The sequence below is a fragment of the Homo sapiens genome, chromosome 4 (genome assembly GCF_000001405.40).
Source record: "Homo sapiens chromosome 4, GRCh38.p14 Primary Assembly".
Classification (NCBI taxonomy): domain Eukaryota; kingdom Metazoa; phylum Chordata; class Mammalia; order Primates; family Hominidae; genus Homo; species Homo sapiens.
Window position 1 is genome coordinate 40,437,160 of NC_000004.12, and position 15,528 is coordinate 40,452,687.

Genomic DNA, 15,528 nt, shown 5'->3' on the forward strand with positions numbered 1-15,528 from the left:
ATATATATATATAATACATATATATATACTATTAAATAATTTTTTTTAAAGTTAGCTTTGGAAGGGGATTTGCTGGTCCACCTTCCTCATTTCATGCTTGAGAAAACAGGCCAGGGGAGATTAAAGTGACTAACTAAAGTCACAGACCCAGTTAATCAGAGAACAGGACCCAGAACCTATGTATCTTATTTTCCAGGTTATGCTGGGTGTCATTATATCCTAATCAGTGATAACAAAAAACAAAATTAAAAATCACGGACTCCACCAACATCTTAAGATTTAATATCACAAGCAGGTTTTAACGTAAGCACCAAGAGAATGGTGGACTAGCCCCTAACCCGGTGGACCTCGGCAAGGAAGAATTCCAGCACTTGCATATTCCTGTGATTTTACCGCTCACCCCAGAACGATCTGTATTTCTATCAGTGCTGCATAAGTGACGGCCTTCGGTGCCAGGAAAGAATTAGACCCAGAATGCAAACCCAAAACGGGGGTGGGAGGGCCTTCAGCACCTACCAGCTCAGCAAATGCCAGCCACGGTATCCCTGGTGCCCCCTGCCTAGGAGGCAACGTTCTTGGGGGCCCCACCCAGGAGAAGAGCCCCCACTAACCTTTCACAAAGTAGTCCCTGTTGGGCCCAATGAGCGCGTTGTAGGGGTAGCCGTAGTAGGCCAGTGTGTAGGGGTCGCAGGAGTACACGTAGCTGGGCTGCTGCGCTGCCTCAGCCGCGCCGCCGCCCCTGGCTGCCTTCTGGTAGCGCGAGTACTGCTCCTTGTCCACGGGCTTGGCCAGCGTGACCTCCAGGCACGAGCCCTCCAGCTCAGTGCCGTTGAGGTTGTTCATGGCATGCACGGCATCCTCGCGGCTGGTGAAGTGCACGAAGGCGTAGTCGCGGATCTTCTTGACGCGCTCCACGCAGCCGGGGTTGAACTGGCCGAAGCTCTTCTTGATGGTGTCCTCGGTGGTCTCGATCATGAGGTTGCGCACGTAGAGGATCTTCACGGTCTCCATCACGTCCTCGTCCACGTCGATCTCAGGTTCGGCCCAGTCCACGGCGATCTGGTGGCCCCACAGCTGGATGCGGCCAGGCATGAGCTTGCGGCGAGCCATGGCAGCCGCGCGGTGGCTCTCGTACTCCACGAAGGCGAAGCCGCGGTTCTTCATCTTGTCGGCCGCGCTGGCGTAGACGATCACGTCCAGCACGCCCTCGGTGACCTTGGCAATCTCCTCCAGGATTTCCTCGCGCTTCTTCATCTTGGGGATCCCGCCGATGAAGAGGCGGCAGTTGTCCACGCTGCAGCACACGCCGAGCAGGCGGCCCGGGCGGATCTCGTAGTTGTTGAGCTCACGCACTGCGCGCTTGGCCTCGTGCTTGTGGCAGTACATGACGAAGGCGTAGCCGCGGTTCTTGCCGTCAAAGTCCATCATGAGGCGCAGCTCGTAGATGCGGCCCACGGCCTCGAACACGGGCACCAGCTCGTCCTCGTACACGTCGCGCGGGATCTTGCCCACGAAGACCTCGCAGCCACGCTGCGGGTGCGGGCCCTCCCAGCCGGGCGGTGGGCCGCCGTACTTGCGCTGCCCGTTCTCTTGCACCATGCTGTAGCCCGTGCGCTCCATCAGCGCCAGCAGTGCTGCCTCGTTGGGCGCGCCCGCCACGCCCTCGGGCACCTTGGCGGAGGACCCGGCGGCCGAGTCACTGCTCATGGCTGCGGTGGAATCCTCTGCGGTCATAATGTCAAAGGCATCCACAGCTGGCGGAAACCTGGGGAAGCAGAAAGAAGCGTGAGTGGGGAACCGCTGGATCTTGCCTCTTTTGGGTTGTGTTTCGCAGCCTTGCAAGTATGCATTAATAGGCCACGGGGAAGGGGAGGTGGTTTAAATGAGAAATAGGATGGAGGCGTTCTGGAAATGCAGCAGCCCTACATTTGTCTAAAATAGTCAAGTTGTCTTGCAGCAAAAACCAGAAGTGAGTTAGGAGAGAAAAAAAAAAATCAGAATGAGCAAGTACTTCCATTTCATCAGTACCCCGACAGCTTTGAAGTTTTGCGAAGCTGCTCTCATTTTTGGTAAAAACCTCACGTTCTTTTGCTTCATTCCTGCACCGTTAACTCCACCTGATTTCCTTGTTATATGGAATTTGACAAACTCCATGTATTTCTTTGGTGAACACAGCTTTCTTCTTTTCTTTTTTAAGGGAGTCTTTTTAATTGTAGGAATGGAAATACAGTGAAGATTTTAAATTATTAAAGAAAACTTTTAGGAGCTGTCATTGTATAGAGAGAGCTGTGTATTAAAGCTTTTTACAAGGAAGAAATGAAATGTGCACATTGCCACGGGCTTGGTCCAGGAACTGTAATAAGAGCTAATCTGATTTTGATGGTGGCATTCAGGTAAAATTCTTGGTGTGAAGCATTCAAAGATTTGGAATCAGTCCTTGAAGAGCTAGACTGACTTCAAGCTGGGGGACTGGGAAGCAGCATCTACCTGGTAAACCACACTATTGTTTTCAGAGAACTGTCACCTGCATTCTCTTAATTTTCTTAACCTCTGTATATGGTACATGGTATTATCCTCAGTCCCAATTTGGTCATGGGGAAATAGGCTTAGGTTGAGTAAACTGCCCCATTTCACACAGCAAGTGTCAGCTTGTAGGCAGACTTGATTCCAAGTTTTCTGGCTCCAGATTCCCTGTTTTTTCTTCCAAACCAATGCTGGGCAATCGAATTTTCTATGATGCTAGAAAAGCTGTCACTTGCCACATGTGGCTACTGAGCACTTGGAATGGGGCTAGTGTGACTGAGGAGCTGGATTTTAAATTTTAATTAAACAGCCACGTATCACAGTGCAGGTCTGAACTGTGCCGCCTTCACTTATATGGCCAAGGGCTCTGTGGAAGTGATTCTAAATTATGCAATAAGATTATTACGATGAGCTGCAGACTATACTTCTGTAATGAAAGGCTCCAATTCGCCTTTTAAAAAATGAAATCTATTTCATTTTTTGGACTATAAAAGTATTCAGTTAAATTTATAGAAAGTTAAGAAAAGTACATAAGAAATTATTCCTAATTTTCCTACCCAATGATAGCACAATGAAACTTTCTCATCTGTTTTCTAGATGTTTTCTTGAGGAGGTGGGAGGGGGAAGCCTGGCTTCCGCCTAATTTACATGGTGCTACTTTATGTTATAAGCATTCCTCTGTATTCTTAAAAATCTTTGTAAAAACATCATTTTTAATGGCCATATAAGGTTTCATCAATTAATTAGAACCCGGAGTATCATTCATTTTTTAAAATTTAGGACTAGGAGATGTATACAAGAATATTAAGGGAAATTTCAAGGATAATAAAAATGAATTTGATCATTGAAGGAAAAAATAAAACTATAATGAAACAAAATAAATCTGAGCTATTTATTTGCCAGATGGCCAAAATAGTCCTTTTGTGGTTAATTTGCTCTAATATCAAGCGGCAGTACAGTTTAGCAGGTAAGTATGTGGCTTCTGGAGCCAGACTGCATATGTTTGTTTGTGAATCTCAGCTCTAATACTTGCTAGTGTTAGCTGCTCCATGCCTCACCTCAGTTTCCCTACCTATAAAATCAGAATGATAATAATAGTATTAACCTCATTAAGTTTAGAGGAGTGAGTTAATACATACACAGCATTTTGAATGGTGCCTAGAATATTATAAATGCTCAAGAAATGTCAGTTATTAATTTCATCCAAACTTTTGAGTAAAATCTTAGACCAATTCTTTCAATTTTAGAGTAATTCTTAAGATAAACATCTTCAGTTCTTTAAAAATATCTGTTACACGTGGCTTCTATTCTTATTATTTTTTTCCTCTTCAAGTGCTTGGAAGCTGGTTTGACGTCTCCAGTTATCATGAAATTTTTTTGTAGTATACTTGGAAAATTAGTTTCTGTAGTTTCAAGTTGAAAAACATTTTTTTTTCTTTTTTTAAAAATAGAGATGGAGGGCCAGGCAGAGTGGCTTGTGCCTGTAATCCCAGCTCTTAGGGAGGCAGAGGTGGGAGGATTACTTGAGCCCAGGAGTTTGAAACCTGCCTGGGCAATATAGAAAGACCTCGTTCTCCACAAAAAAAGGAACCAAAAAAAAAAAGATCCCAATTAAAATAGAGATAGAGTCTCACTATGTTACCCCAGCTAGTCTCAAACTCCTGGGCTCAAGTAATCCTCCTGCCTCAGCCTCCCAAAGTGCTAGGATTACAGGCATGAGCCACCACACCCAACCAAGAAATTTCAACATTAAATCTGAACATGAAGACCTTTCCCTTCTTCCAAATGGAAGATAAGGATATATTTTTAAGAGGACTATTTGCATAAACACCCATGTAGTTACAATCTGTGACCTAGGCAGGAAATGCCAGGTACATATATAAATACATAGGAGACAATTCAAGATCTTACCTGTTGTACTGTATACAACATTAACTGACTAAAGTCCAAGGGAATAGAACTTATCTCTCTGCTGAGATAGGTGGAGTTGCCTTCCTGTCACCCTAACTGTGCTTTGAAACTACTATTCTACCTACAAAAACAGTCTTACAGTAGTCAGGCTACGGAGTCATTGCCAATTCCAACCCCAATAATATAAGAAAAAATCCTGTTTGCTTTCAGTCTGAAATCTGCTGGTGTCAGTAACACAATTATCTCTACATATTTTAAAATAGCGATAGCTTATTTCTTACATCAATGAGCCAAGAAAAGCCTTTCTTCACCTATGCTATCATCTTCTGTAATAAACAAACCATGTTAGCGACCCTGTTTTTATTTTTACTTTGGCCTCTAGGAAGTTCACGATTGATTTTTTTCACTCCAATTTTAGTAACTGTAGGGGACATTACAACACACTTTCATGTTCATCTAATTTGGGTTATAGTTTCATTTTTTAGTTTTCTTCTATTTTTTCAGTTTTCCCAGTGACATGAATTGAGCTGTTTGTATTATTTATCTTATTGTTCACATGTTCTTATAAACCATGTTGTAATTTTGGAGGAGACGAATCAATGCATACATACATGCATATATATCTAATTACAGCCAGACATTGATTAATGCAATATCCAAATTTGCTGTGTCTCTTACACCAACTACAAGTATTGCATACCAACAAGTGAGAACCACAATGAGATACTACTTCACACTCATTAGGATAGTTATTATAAAAACAACAAAAAACAGGAAATAAGCATTGGCAAGGACGTGGAGAAATTGAAACCCTCATGCAGTGCTGGTAGGAATATAAAATGGTACAGCCGCTGTAAAAAACAGTATGGTGGTTCCTCAAAAAATTAAACATAGAATTACCATTTGATCCAGCAATTCCACTTCTAGGTATATACCCAAAAGACTCAAATAGATACTTGTATAATGATGTTCACAGCAACAGTATTTACAGTTGCCAAAAGATGGAAGCAACCCAAATGTTGATCAATGGATTATGATAAACAGAACGTGGTATACATATACAATGCAGTATTATTCAGCCTTTTTTCTTTTGCTTTTTTTTTAGACAGAGTCTCACTCTGTCACCCAGGCTGGCGTGCAGTGGTGCAGTCTCTGCTCACTGCAACCTCCACCTCTCAGGTTCAAACAATTCACCTCAGCCTCCCAAGTAACTGGGACTACAGGCGCACACCACCACGCCCAGCTAATTTTTGTATTTTTAGTACAGGTGGGGTTTCACCATGTTGGCCAGGCTGGTCTTGAACTCCTGACCTCAGGTGCTCTGCCCGCCTCGGTCTCCCAAAATACTGGGATTACACGTGTGAGCCACCGTGCCCGGCTTATTCAGCCTTGAATAAAATTCTGATACGTGCTACAATATGGAAGAACCTTGAAGACATTATGCTAATAGTGAAATAAGCCAGACACAAAGGGATAAATATTATATGATTCCACTTATATAAGGTACCTAGAGTAGTCAAATTCATAGACAGAAAGTAGACTAGTGGTTACCATGGGCTGGAGAAAGGGAGGAGTGGGGAATTAGTGCTTCATGGGTGTGGGTGTCTTAATTAGGGATAATAAAGGTCTGGAGATGGATGGTGGTGATGGCAGCACAACAGTGTGAATATACTTCCTGCCAATGAACCATACACTTAAAAATGGTAAAATGTTATGTATAATATACCACAGTAAAAACAAAATCCTTTAAAAAAAAGAAAAGGTTCAGAGATGCAAAAAAGACAAAAATTAGAGTTGATAAAACTAGGATTTCATTAGAGGCCATTAAAAAATGATACACTGGGCTGGGCACAGTGGCTTACACCTGTAATCCCAGCACTTTGGGAGGCTAAGGTGGGCGGATCACCTGAGGTTGGGAGTTCGAGACCAGCCTGACCAACATGGAGAAACCCCATCTCTAATAAAAATACAAAATTAGCTGGGCGTGGTGGCACATGCCTGTAATCTCAGCTACTCAGGATGCTAAGGCAGGAGAATCCCTTGAACCTGGGAGGCGGAAGTTGTGGTGTGCTGAGATGGCGCCATTGCACTCTAGCCTGGGCAACAAGAGTGAAACTCCTTCTCAAAAAAAAAAAAAAAAAAAAAAAAAAAAAAAAAAAGGTACACTGACTCAGGTTAACACATTCAAGAAAATCTTATGGCCTACAAGTTTTATTCTCCTTATCATCATGTTTAATATACCATATTAAATAAATTATATGGTGTGCTACTCTACTCAATGAATTCAGATGCCAAACACTTAGATATATTAAAAGATAAATGAGGCTGGGCTCAGTGGCTCACGCCTGTAATTCTGGCACTTTGGGCGGCTGAGGCAGGTAGATTGCTTAAGCTCAGGAGCACGAGACCAGCCTGGGCAACATGGCAAAACCCCATCTCTACAAAAAGTACAAAAATTAGCCGGGCATGGTGGTGTGTGCCTGTAGTCCCAGCTATTTGGGAGGCTGAGGTGGAAGGATCACCTGAGCTCAGGAAGTTGAGGCTGCAGTGAGCTGTGACTGCGCCACTGCACTCCAGCCTAGGCAACAGAGTGAGAACCTGTCTCAAAAACAACAACAACAATAACGAAAAGGAAAAGATTTTCAAGTTACTTTGAAAAAGACAACTGTACAGCTAACATGACCCTTCTCTCAAAGATGTAATGAAATGCTTAACTTATTGTAATTATATGTGCTTTAGATTAGCATTGGCAAGCTATGGCTGTGGGCCAAATATGGCCTGCTGTTTGTTTCTATAAATAAAATTGTATTGGAACACAACCCTATCCTTAAAAAAAAAAAAAAGAAAAGATAATGTGTGGCTGCTTTTATACTACAATGGCAAAGCGAAATAGTTGAGACCCAGACAGTGTGGCTCATAAAGCCTAAGGTATTTACTCTCCGGCTCTGTTGACCCCTGGTCTAGGAGATGTGGAAGAGCGCATCCTTGAAGCTCTTAGATTCTGCTTGCTACGTATAATAGTTTTCCTATGCTGAATGATAACTTAATTTCAGGACTAATTTTTAAATTCTAACTGTTTTTTTTTTTTTTAGATGGAGTCTCACTCTGTCATCCAGGCTGGAGTGCAGTGGTATGATCTTGGCTCACTGCAATCTCCACCTCCAGGATTCAAGCGATTTATCTGCCTCAGCCTCCTGAGTAGCTGGTATTACAGGTGCGTACCATCATGTCCGGTTAATTTTTGTATTTTTAGTAGAGATGGGGTTTCACCATGTTTGCCAGGCTGGTCTCGAACTCCTGACCTCAAGTGATCTGTCTGCCTCCTAAAGTGCTGGGATTACAGGTGTGAGCCACTGTGCCCGGCCTTAAATTCTAACATATTTTAAAACAGTGTTGTTTGGCCGGGCGCGGTGGCTCATGCCTGTAATCCCAGCACTTTGGGAGGCCGAGGAGGGCGGATCACAAGGTCAGGAGATTGAGACCATCCTGGCTAACACGGTGAAACCCCATCTCTACTAAAAATAGAAAAAATTAGCTGGGTGTGCTGGTGGACGCCTGTAGTCCCAGCCACAGGGGAGGCTGAGGCAGGAGAATGGCGTGAGCCCGAGAGTCGGAGCTTGCAGTGAGCCGAGATCACACCACTGCACTCCAGCCTGGGCGACAGAGCGAGACTCCGTCTCAAAAAAAAAAAAAAAAAAAGACAGTGTTGTTTAGCTGCCTTTCCCCCTCTTCCAAGCTGTTTTCCGTTTAACTCCAATGGCCAAATTTATGAGACATGGAAGAAGAAAATATCTGATGAAGGTTGTTGGCTCAGCTCCTGACACTTATATATTAATAATTTCTTAAAATTCCAAAAGAGATACAAGAGGGTTTGTTTTCATTCATTCATTCATTCATTCAGCAAATAGTTATTGACCACCTGCTATGTGCCAGATACTGTGCTAGCTATGGTGGACCTCGTCCTTGTGGAGCTGACTTCTGAGTTAAGTGAACTCAGTTAACTGAATTACGCTTCAAATGCCAAATAGGTGAGAATTGAGGTATTTGTACTCATGGTTACTGACCAGAGCCTGCTTCAAAAGGGTCATACACCTCAACATTGTTAACATTCGTTTCTGATAAGGCCATAGTTCCCCAAGTTAAAAGCCCATATACCATCAGAATTTTGCTTTTAAATATATCAGGGGTGTCTGGGGACTAGTGTGAAATACCATATCCTGAATGTTGAGATTCTTGCTTGGGGCAGAAGTGTGGACAGAATGAATAATAAGTATACTTCAGAAGTAGAAACTTATCTGTGAGCAAATCAAAATATCTAGATAAATAACACAGAGTTCCCCAGTTTCATCCATTCACCATGTGACAGTTTTAAAAGGGACTGGGCATTCTGGTTTAGGCTTCGTAGCATGTTGAATAAATGCAAGTCTCTAGAGTCAGACAGTCTGAAGTCCAAATCTTAGTTCCTCTACTTCTAGCTGTGAACCTTGAGAAAAGCCATTTAACATCATTAAGAATCTATATTCTCATCTCTAAAATGATGACTGTATTAACCAATGTTTACTGAATGTCTATTATGTGACAGGCAGAGTGCTATGCTTGTGCATATTAACTCATTCTAATCCTCACAGTGTCTATATGGTATACGACTAGGGTCTCCACCCTACAGATAGGGAAACTGAGGCACAGAGAGGCTAAGTAGATTCTCAGTTAATGAGCATCAGAGCTGGTGTGTGAACCCTGGGAGTCTGATTTTCATCATAGGGCTGTGATGAGGATTAAGTAAAATGATTTGTGTAAAGTTCTTAGTGCAGAACCTAGCACTAAGTGATCAAGGAATGTTAGCACAAGAAAACTGAACTTAAGGCTGGGCGTGGTGACTCATACCTTTAATCCTAACACTTTGGTATGCTGAGGCAGGAGAATTGCTTGAGCTCAGGAGCTTGAGACTAGCCTGGGCAACATAGTGAGACCCCATCTCTACAAAAATTTAAAAAATTAGCTGGGTGTTGTGGCGTAACACCTGTGGTCCCAGCTATTTGGGAGGCTGAGGTGGGAAGATCACTTGAGCCTGGGAGGTCAAGGCTGCAGTGAGCTATGATTGTGCCACTGTACTCCAGCCTAGGTGACAGAGCAAGACCCAGTCTCAAAAAAAAAAAAAAAAAAAAAAGGAAAAAAGACAATAAAACTTAAAAAAAAAATTGAACTGGAGGGAAGAATCTTGCCCCATGTAGGATTCTGTGTTTATGGGAAAACAGGCAAGAGGTTATCCCAGCCAACTTTAAACCAGTCAGTAGAGAAGCCTAGCCTGTGAGTTCTGGTGGAGACTAGTGTATCAGAGTCTCCCAGATTCCTTTCATAGCAGGTAAGCTGTCTGGCAGTGTGATTCTCCACTGGTGATGTGGCTTATGCATCCATGTGTAAGCCTGTTTCTCACCTAATCCTTGGCTAAAGCACTTTGCAGAAGCTCTCCCAGAAAGAACATGAAGAGACTTGCCACATTGGATGCAAAATGTCCAACCATCTATGTAGATGCCAAATCCCCTGAGGTAGGACCCTCCCAGCACACAGCTATTCTTCCCAACACTAAAAATGCATGAGTCTTCACTGAAGGCTGCTAGCATTAAATAAACATGGCAATATATTTGAAATAAATCATTTACTCACAGTTTTGTATATAAAACAAGCAGAAAAAATATACCTTCAAATCAAGCTATTATTATTCTGAACTAGGGATTTTTGTTATGTTTTAGGGAGAGTTTGAACTTGTTGGGTTAAAATAAAATTTCAAGGCAAACAGGTAAAGCAGACATCATCAAGGATTTGAATTCTCTTTTTAGCGTTTGTTCAGAGTAGCTTTCATTAGGATTTTAACTTTGAACTGGGACATTTTAGAGGGCAAAGGATACCAGTGTACTACTGGGAAATATTATCAATGTTTACATACCAGTGTTTACCTAGGATCAAAATCATGCATGAGTTTACTCTAGAATTAATAAGACTACCGGTCCGCTGCACTGGCTCAGGCCTGTAATCCCAGCACTTTGGAAGGCTGAGGCGGGTGGATCACAAGGTCAGGAGTTCAAGACCAACCTGGCCAAGATGGTAAAACCCCATCTCTACTAAAAATTTAAAACAGGCCAGGCGCAGTGGCTCACGCCTATAATCCCAGCACTTTGGGAGGCTGAGGCGGGTGGATCACAAGGTCAGGAGATCGAGACCATCCTGGCTAACACAGTGAAACCCCATCTCTACTAAAAATACAAAAAAATTAGCCGGGCATGGTGGCAGGCGCCTGTAGTCCCAGTTACTCTGGAGGCCGAGGCAGGAGAATGGCGTGAACCCGGGAGGTGGAGCTTGCAGTGAGCCGAGATCGTGCCACTGCACTCCAGCCCGGGTGACAAAGAGAGACTCCGTCTCAAAAAAATAAAAATAAAAAAATAAAAAAACAAAACAAGTAGCCAGGCATGGTGGCGGGTGCCTGTAATCTCAGCTACTCGGGAGGCTGAGGTAGAGAATTGCTTGAACCCGGGAGGCAGAGGTTGCAGTGAGCCGAGACTGCGCCACTGCACTCCAGCCTGGGTGACAGAGTGAGACTCCATCTCAAAATAAATAAATAAATAAATAAGACTACAAGTTAACTTTGGTTCACAGCTCTTGGAGTGTGACTGTGAGAGTGTGTGTGTGTGAGTGTGAGTGTGTGTGTTTGAGTGTGTGTGTGTGTTTGAGATGAGTATGCAATTTGGAATTCTTGGGAGAGCTTTATTTGCTGACCAACTGACAAATTGCAATTTGAAGCTATATACAGTGGGGTACAGTGTCTTCCAATCACTACCTGGAATTTAATTCAGTGGAGGGTTTTAAAATGTGTTGATCCAAGAGATAATTCTATCTCTGTGGTTAGATTTCTATTTTGATGTTCCTTATTCATACCATAAAATTTTGTCCTAATAATCACGTCTTAAGCATGACCTAACACACACAATGCACATAAGAGCAAAGGCTTTGGAGTCAGAGATCTAAGTTCAAGTCATGACTGTGCCACTTACTAGCTGTGTCTCCTCAGGCAAATCACCTTAGTTCCATTTCCACATCTCTAAGATGGTTCTAGTAACAGCACCAGGACTAAGTGACATTTGGCAATGTGTGGCACACAATTTGTTTAAAAAGTTTGGCAATTATTATTATTACTTTAAAGAATGCCACTTAAAAGCCATAGTTTGTGTTTTAGAGAGGAGTCTCTCACAAAAGTTCAGAATAACCTCATGGTTTACAGAAAAATTATTTGATTATTTGGTAAAGGAAGATGTTGCCCCAAACTTGGGGTGAAGGAGGGGGTGGGGTAGGAAATCAGAGAGAAAAACAGTTTCTGCAAAAGGTTTCCAAGATTTGGCCTTACCCTGAGCATTTATCTTACTGCCTTGGTCCAAGTTACCACCACCCAGTAGAATAAACATTGGAGAGGACACGCCCACTCTCGGGCAGGCCCCTGGCACCAGGATGTTTCTATTACCTCAGAGTTTGAAAGTGGAAAAGGAGTTCCACTCAAAATGGAGGCAGAACATGGAATTTACTTGGGAGGTCAAACAATAAGCCGAAGACTTTGAAACACGGGCTCTTTTTTTCTATCACAGGCAGGGACCTCTTGCTACTGAAAAGCATGGCCCTTGGGGCACATAAACATCTCTCCTTGACTCTCCTTTCTTTAGGTAAAATCCTGGGAGGTTGAAGATACAAGGGAATAATGACATTCCGGGCCATGCCTTCTGCCCACCCCTCGCTCATCTGAGAAAGCGTTCATTCATAATGGGTCTTAATTGTGTTGATGATTGTACAGATTTTGTTATGTCAAAGCACATCATTCAATGAATGCTTGTGTATGATAAACAGATGCAAAGCCAAGAGGCTCAATTTTCCCAGACGTTTCTATCAACACACACCTGAGAATGCGGCCTTTTGCTGTGGGTTCTCAGGGAGGCCTGCTGTGTACTACAAGACGGCTGAAGCCACCCTCCCGAAAGGGGTGGAGTGGGGAGATTTTCTGCAGGGGTTTGGCAGCACACAAATACCAGTTAGGAAACTATTATCTTGTTCCCTTTATTTATTTAGACGGAATCTCATTCTGTCGCCCAGGCTGGAGTGCAGTGGCGCCATCTCAGCTCACTGAAGCCTCCACCGCCCGGGTTCAAGTGATTCTCCTGCCTCAGCCTCCGGAGTAGTTAGGACTACAGGCATGCACCACCACGCCCAGCTAAGTTTTGTACTTTTTTTAGTAGAGATGAGGATTCACCATGTTGGCCAGCCTGGTCTCGAACTCCTGGCCTCAAATGATCCGCCTGCCTTGGCCTCCTAAAGTGCTGGTTTTATAGGTGTGAGCCACCGCACCTGGCCTTGTTCCCTTTAAATAAGCATTACTTACACTTTGTCTCTAAAGGTTGATGGGGTAATGCTGAAACCAACAAAAATGAAACTCACAAATTCAGCACACATATGCCTCCCGGGCCAACGTTTTTCCAATCCATGAACAAACAGTAGGAGGGACTTCTAGTTTCACTCCTTACCTTGGCTCCTTTGACCTAAGCCTTTGAGGGATCTGGCAAGGAACAGAAAGGCCGACTGGCAGACACCAGAAAGGAAAAGGAAGGAGAAGCCACAGTGGCTTCTATCATTTAACACTAGCTTGAATTCATACAGTGTTTTGCAATTTATAAAATTCTTTCAGGCTGGGCAAGGTGGCTAACGCCTATAATTCCAGCACTTTGGGAGGCTGAGGCGGCCTGATCACCTGAGTTGAGGAGTTTGAGACCAGCCTGGCCAACATAGTGAAACTCTGTCTCTACTGAAAAAAAAAAAATATAAAACTTAGCCAGGCGTGGTGGCATGCACCTGTAGTCCCAGCTATTTGGGAGGCTGAGGCAGAAGAATTGCTTGAACCTGGGAGGCGGAGGTTGCAGTGAGCCAAGATCGCACCAATGCACTCCAGCCTGGGTGACACACAAGACTCTGTCTCAAAAAAGAAAAAAAAAAATTATTTCACATATATTATCTAATTTCATAAAATCCCAGAATTTGAGCTGCTCAGGGAATATAGGTGTTCTCTAACCCAGGGTTTTTGAACCTCAGCCCTATTGATATTTGTGATAATTCTATGTTATGAGGGGCTGTCTTGTGTGTTTTCAGATGTTTCATAACATCCCTGTCCTCTACCCACTAGATGCAAAAGCCCCCTACCTCCACAATGTTGTGACAACCAGAAATGTCTCCAGACATTGCAAATCTGGGGGCAGGGGGTGCGCATAAAATTGCTTTCTGTCGAGAATTACTGGTGGAGTCTATCTTGGAGCTGTGTAATATGATTATATACTGGCACACATGGTAGGTACTTTTTAAATAGAGAAGAAGTTGTTATTTTCTACAGCCCTCCCTCAACATGGGCCTGGTGTCTTGATCTGGCTCTTACGAATAGTCAAGGCTGGCCGGGCACAGTGGCTCACGCCTGTAATCCCAGCACTTTGTGAGGTTGAGGTGGGAGGATCGCTGGAGCCCAGGAGTTCGAGACCAGCCTGGGCAGCATGGCAAGGCGCAGTAGCTACCAAAAAAAAAAAAAAAAAAAAAAGTCAAGGCTATCAAGACTGAGAAACGTGCAACATTTTTCAAGGGTTTGAGGTAAGTGTCTCTGTGATACAATAATACTCATTTAATTTGGTTGAAACACTATCAATTTAATTTTCAGACAAAACAACAGCTACCATAAAGGCTTGTTAAGAATGGTTCTGTTGTCTAATTGACTTGTCATCACAGCAAACTTGACAGGCCTGGGTCATAGAAACATCACTGCCGAAATCAGTCTAAAGCATCCAACTGTCTCATTTAAATTCCGACCCCGCTGCTACATGGACACATGAGAACTGCTGACAATCTGGTTTTTAAGACTTGGGCTGTTTTCAAATGTCATTACTGGTTTCTTCAATAATGCAATAACCCTTACTTAAAATTTACAGTTTTTTTTTAAAGACATACTATGAACAATCACTGAAAATGGGCTTCTGGGATACAGTCAATTCACTGGTACTAAAGTCAGCATCTGTACAGGTCTGTAGGCAAAAGGCAATGATGTGGTAAAATAAATGATTAAACAATATTTGCATATGAATTGATTCATTCCCTCGCTCATTCAAACACTAATTGAGCACTGGCTGCGTATGAGGCTGTGCTAGATGCTTGGGGATACAGTGGTGGCTACTGCATGTTCCTTGGAGTTCACAGTCTGGCAAGGGTAGATGAAGAAGGAAGGGGAGGCCAGGAACAGTGGCTCATGCCTGTAATCCCAGCACTTTGGGAGGCCAAGGCGGGCAGATTGCCTGAGGTCAGGAGTTCGAGACCAGCCTGGCCAACATGGCAAAACCCTGTCTCTACTAAAAATACAAAAATTAGCCGGGTGTGGTGGCATGTGCCTGTAGTCTCAGCTACTTGGGAGGGTGAGGCAGGAGAATTGCTTGAACCCAGGAGGTAGAGGCTGCAATGAGCCGAGATCATGCCACTGCACTCCAGCCTGGGCAACAGAGCGAGACTCCATCTCAAAAAAAAAAAAAAGAAGGAAAGGGAGGAGACAGAGCAGAGGGAACATTATGAGCAAAGGTGGGCATTTGCAAAAATGCTGGAATGGTCTCAAATAGCTGAAATGTAGGAGGTGGATATGGGGCAGAAGATGAGGCTCAAAAAGAAAATGAAACCAGATTGTGAAGGGTCTAAGTCTCTCACTTTCTGTGGTAGACAGTGGAGAGCCACGAAGCTTTAGCCATGACTAGGAAGTTCAGGCTGAGTCCTCAGTGAAAGAATGAGTAGCTCTTGCACCAGGAGTTTTATTTATTCAGAGGAATAGAAACGATTTTATAAATTTGTTTATGAAGTATTCTGCTAAGCAAGCAGGAGGCCTGAGTAGTGTTTATAAGGGGACAAGAGACCGAAAACTCAGGAATTAAAAGCACGAGATAAACCTGAAGTTCTGTATCTTGTCAGCCTTAGTCTAGCGTCCGCCAGGTCAAATCTACCGTCTATTATAAACATCCGCCTTTTCATAATACATAACACTACTGC

The 15,528-nt window shown here is 43.4% G+C and overlaps 1 protein-coding gene across 40 annotated transcripts in view; it reads right to left on the minus strand.

Annotated features, from left to right (window-relative positions):
• Nucleotides 1-15,528, minus strand: part of RBM47 (RNA binding motif protein 47) — a 207,573-nt gene that overhangs the window by 13,880 nt on the left and 178,165 nt on the right. For 39 of the 40 annotated variants that reach the window (XM_017008310.3, XM_017008309.3, XM_005248103.5 and 36 more), the window contains one exon: nt 612-1,765. In XM_017008310.3, coding sequence (XP_016863799.1) covers nt 612-1,734 — 1,123 coding nt within the window. In that variant the 5' untranslated portion in view covers nt 1,735-1,765. The remainder of the gene's footprint in view (nt 1-611; nt 1,766-15,528) is intronic. The other variant, NM_001371114.1, reaches the window with a different exon arrangement.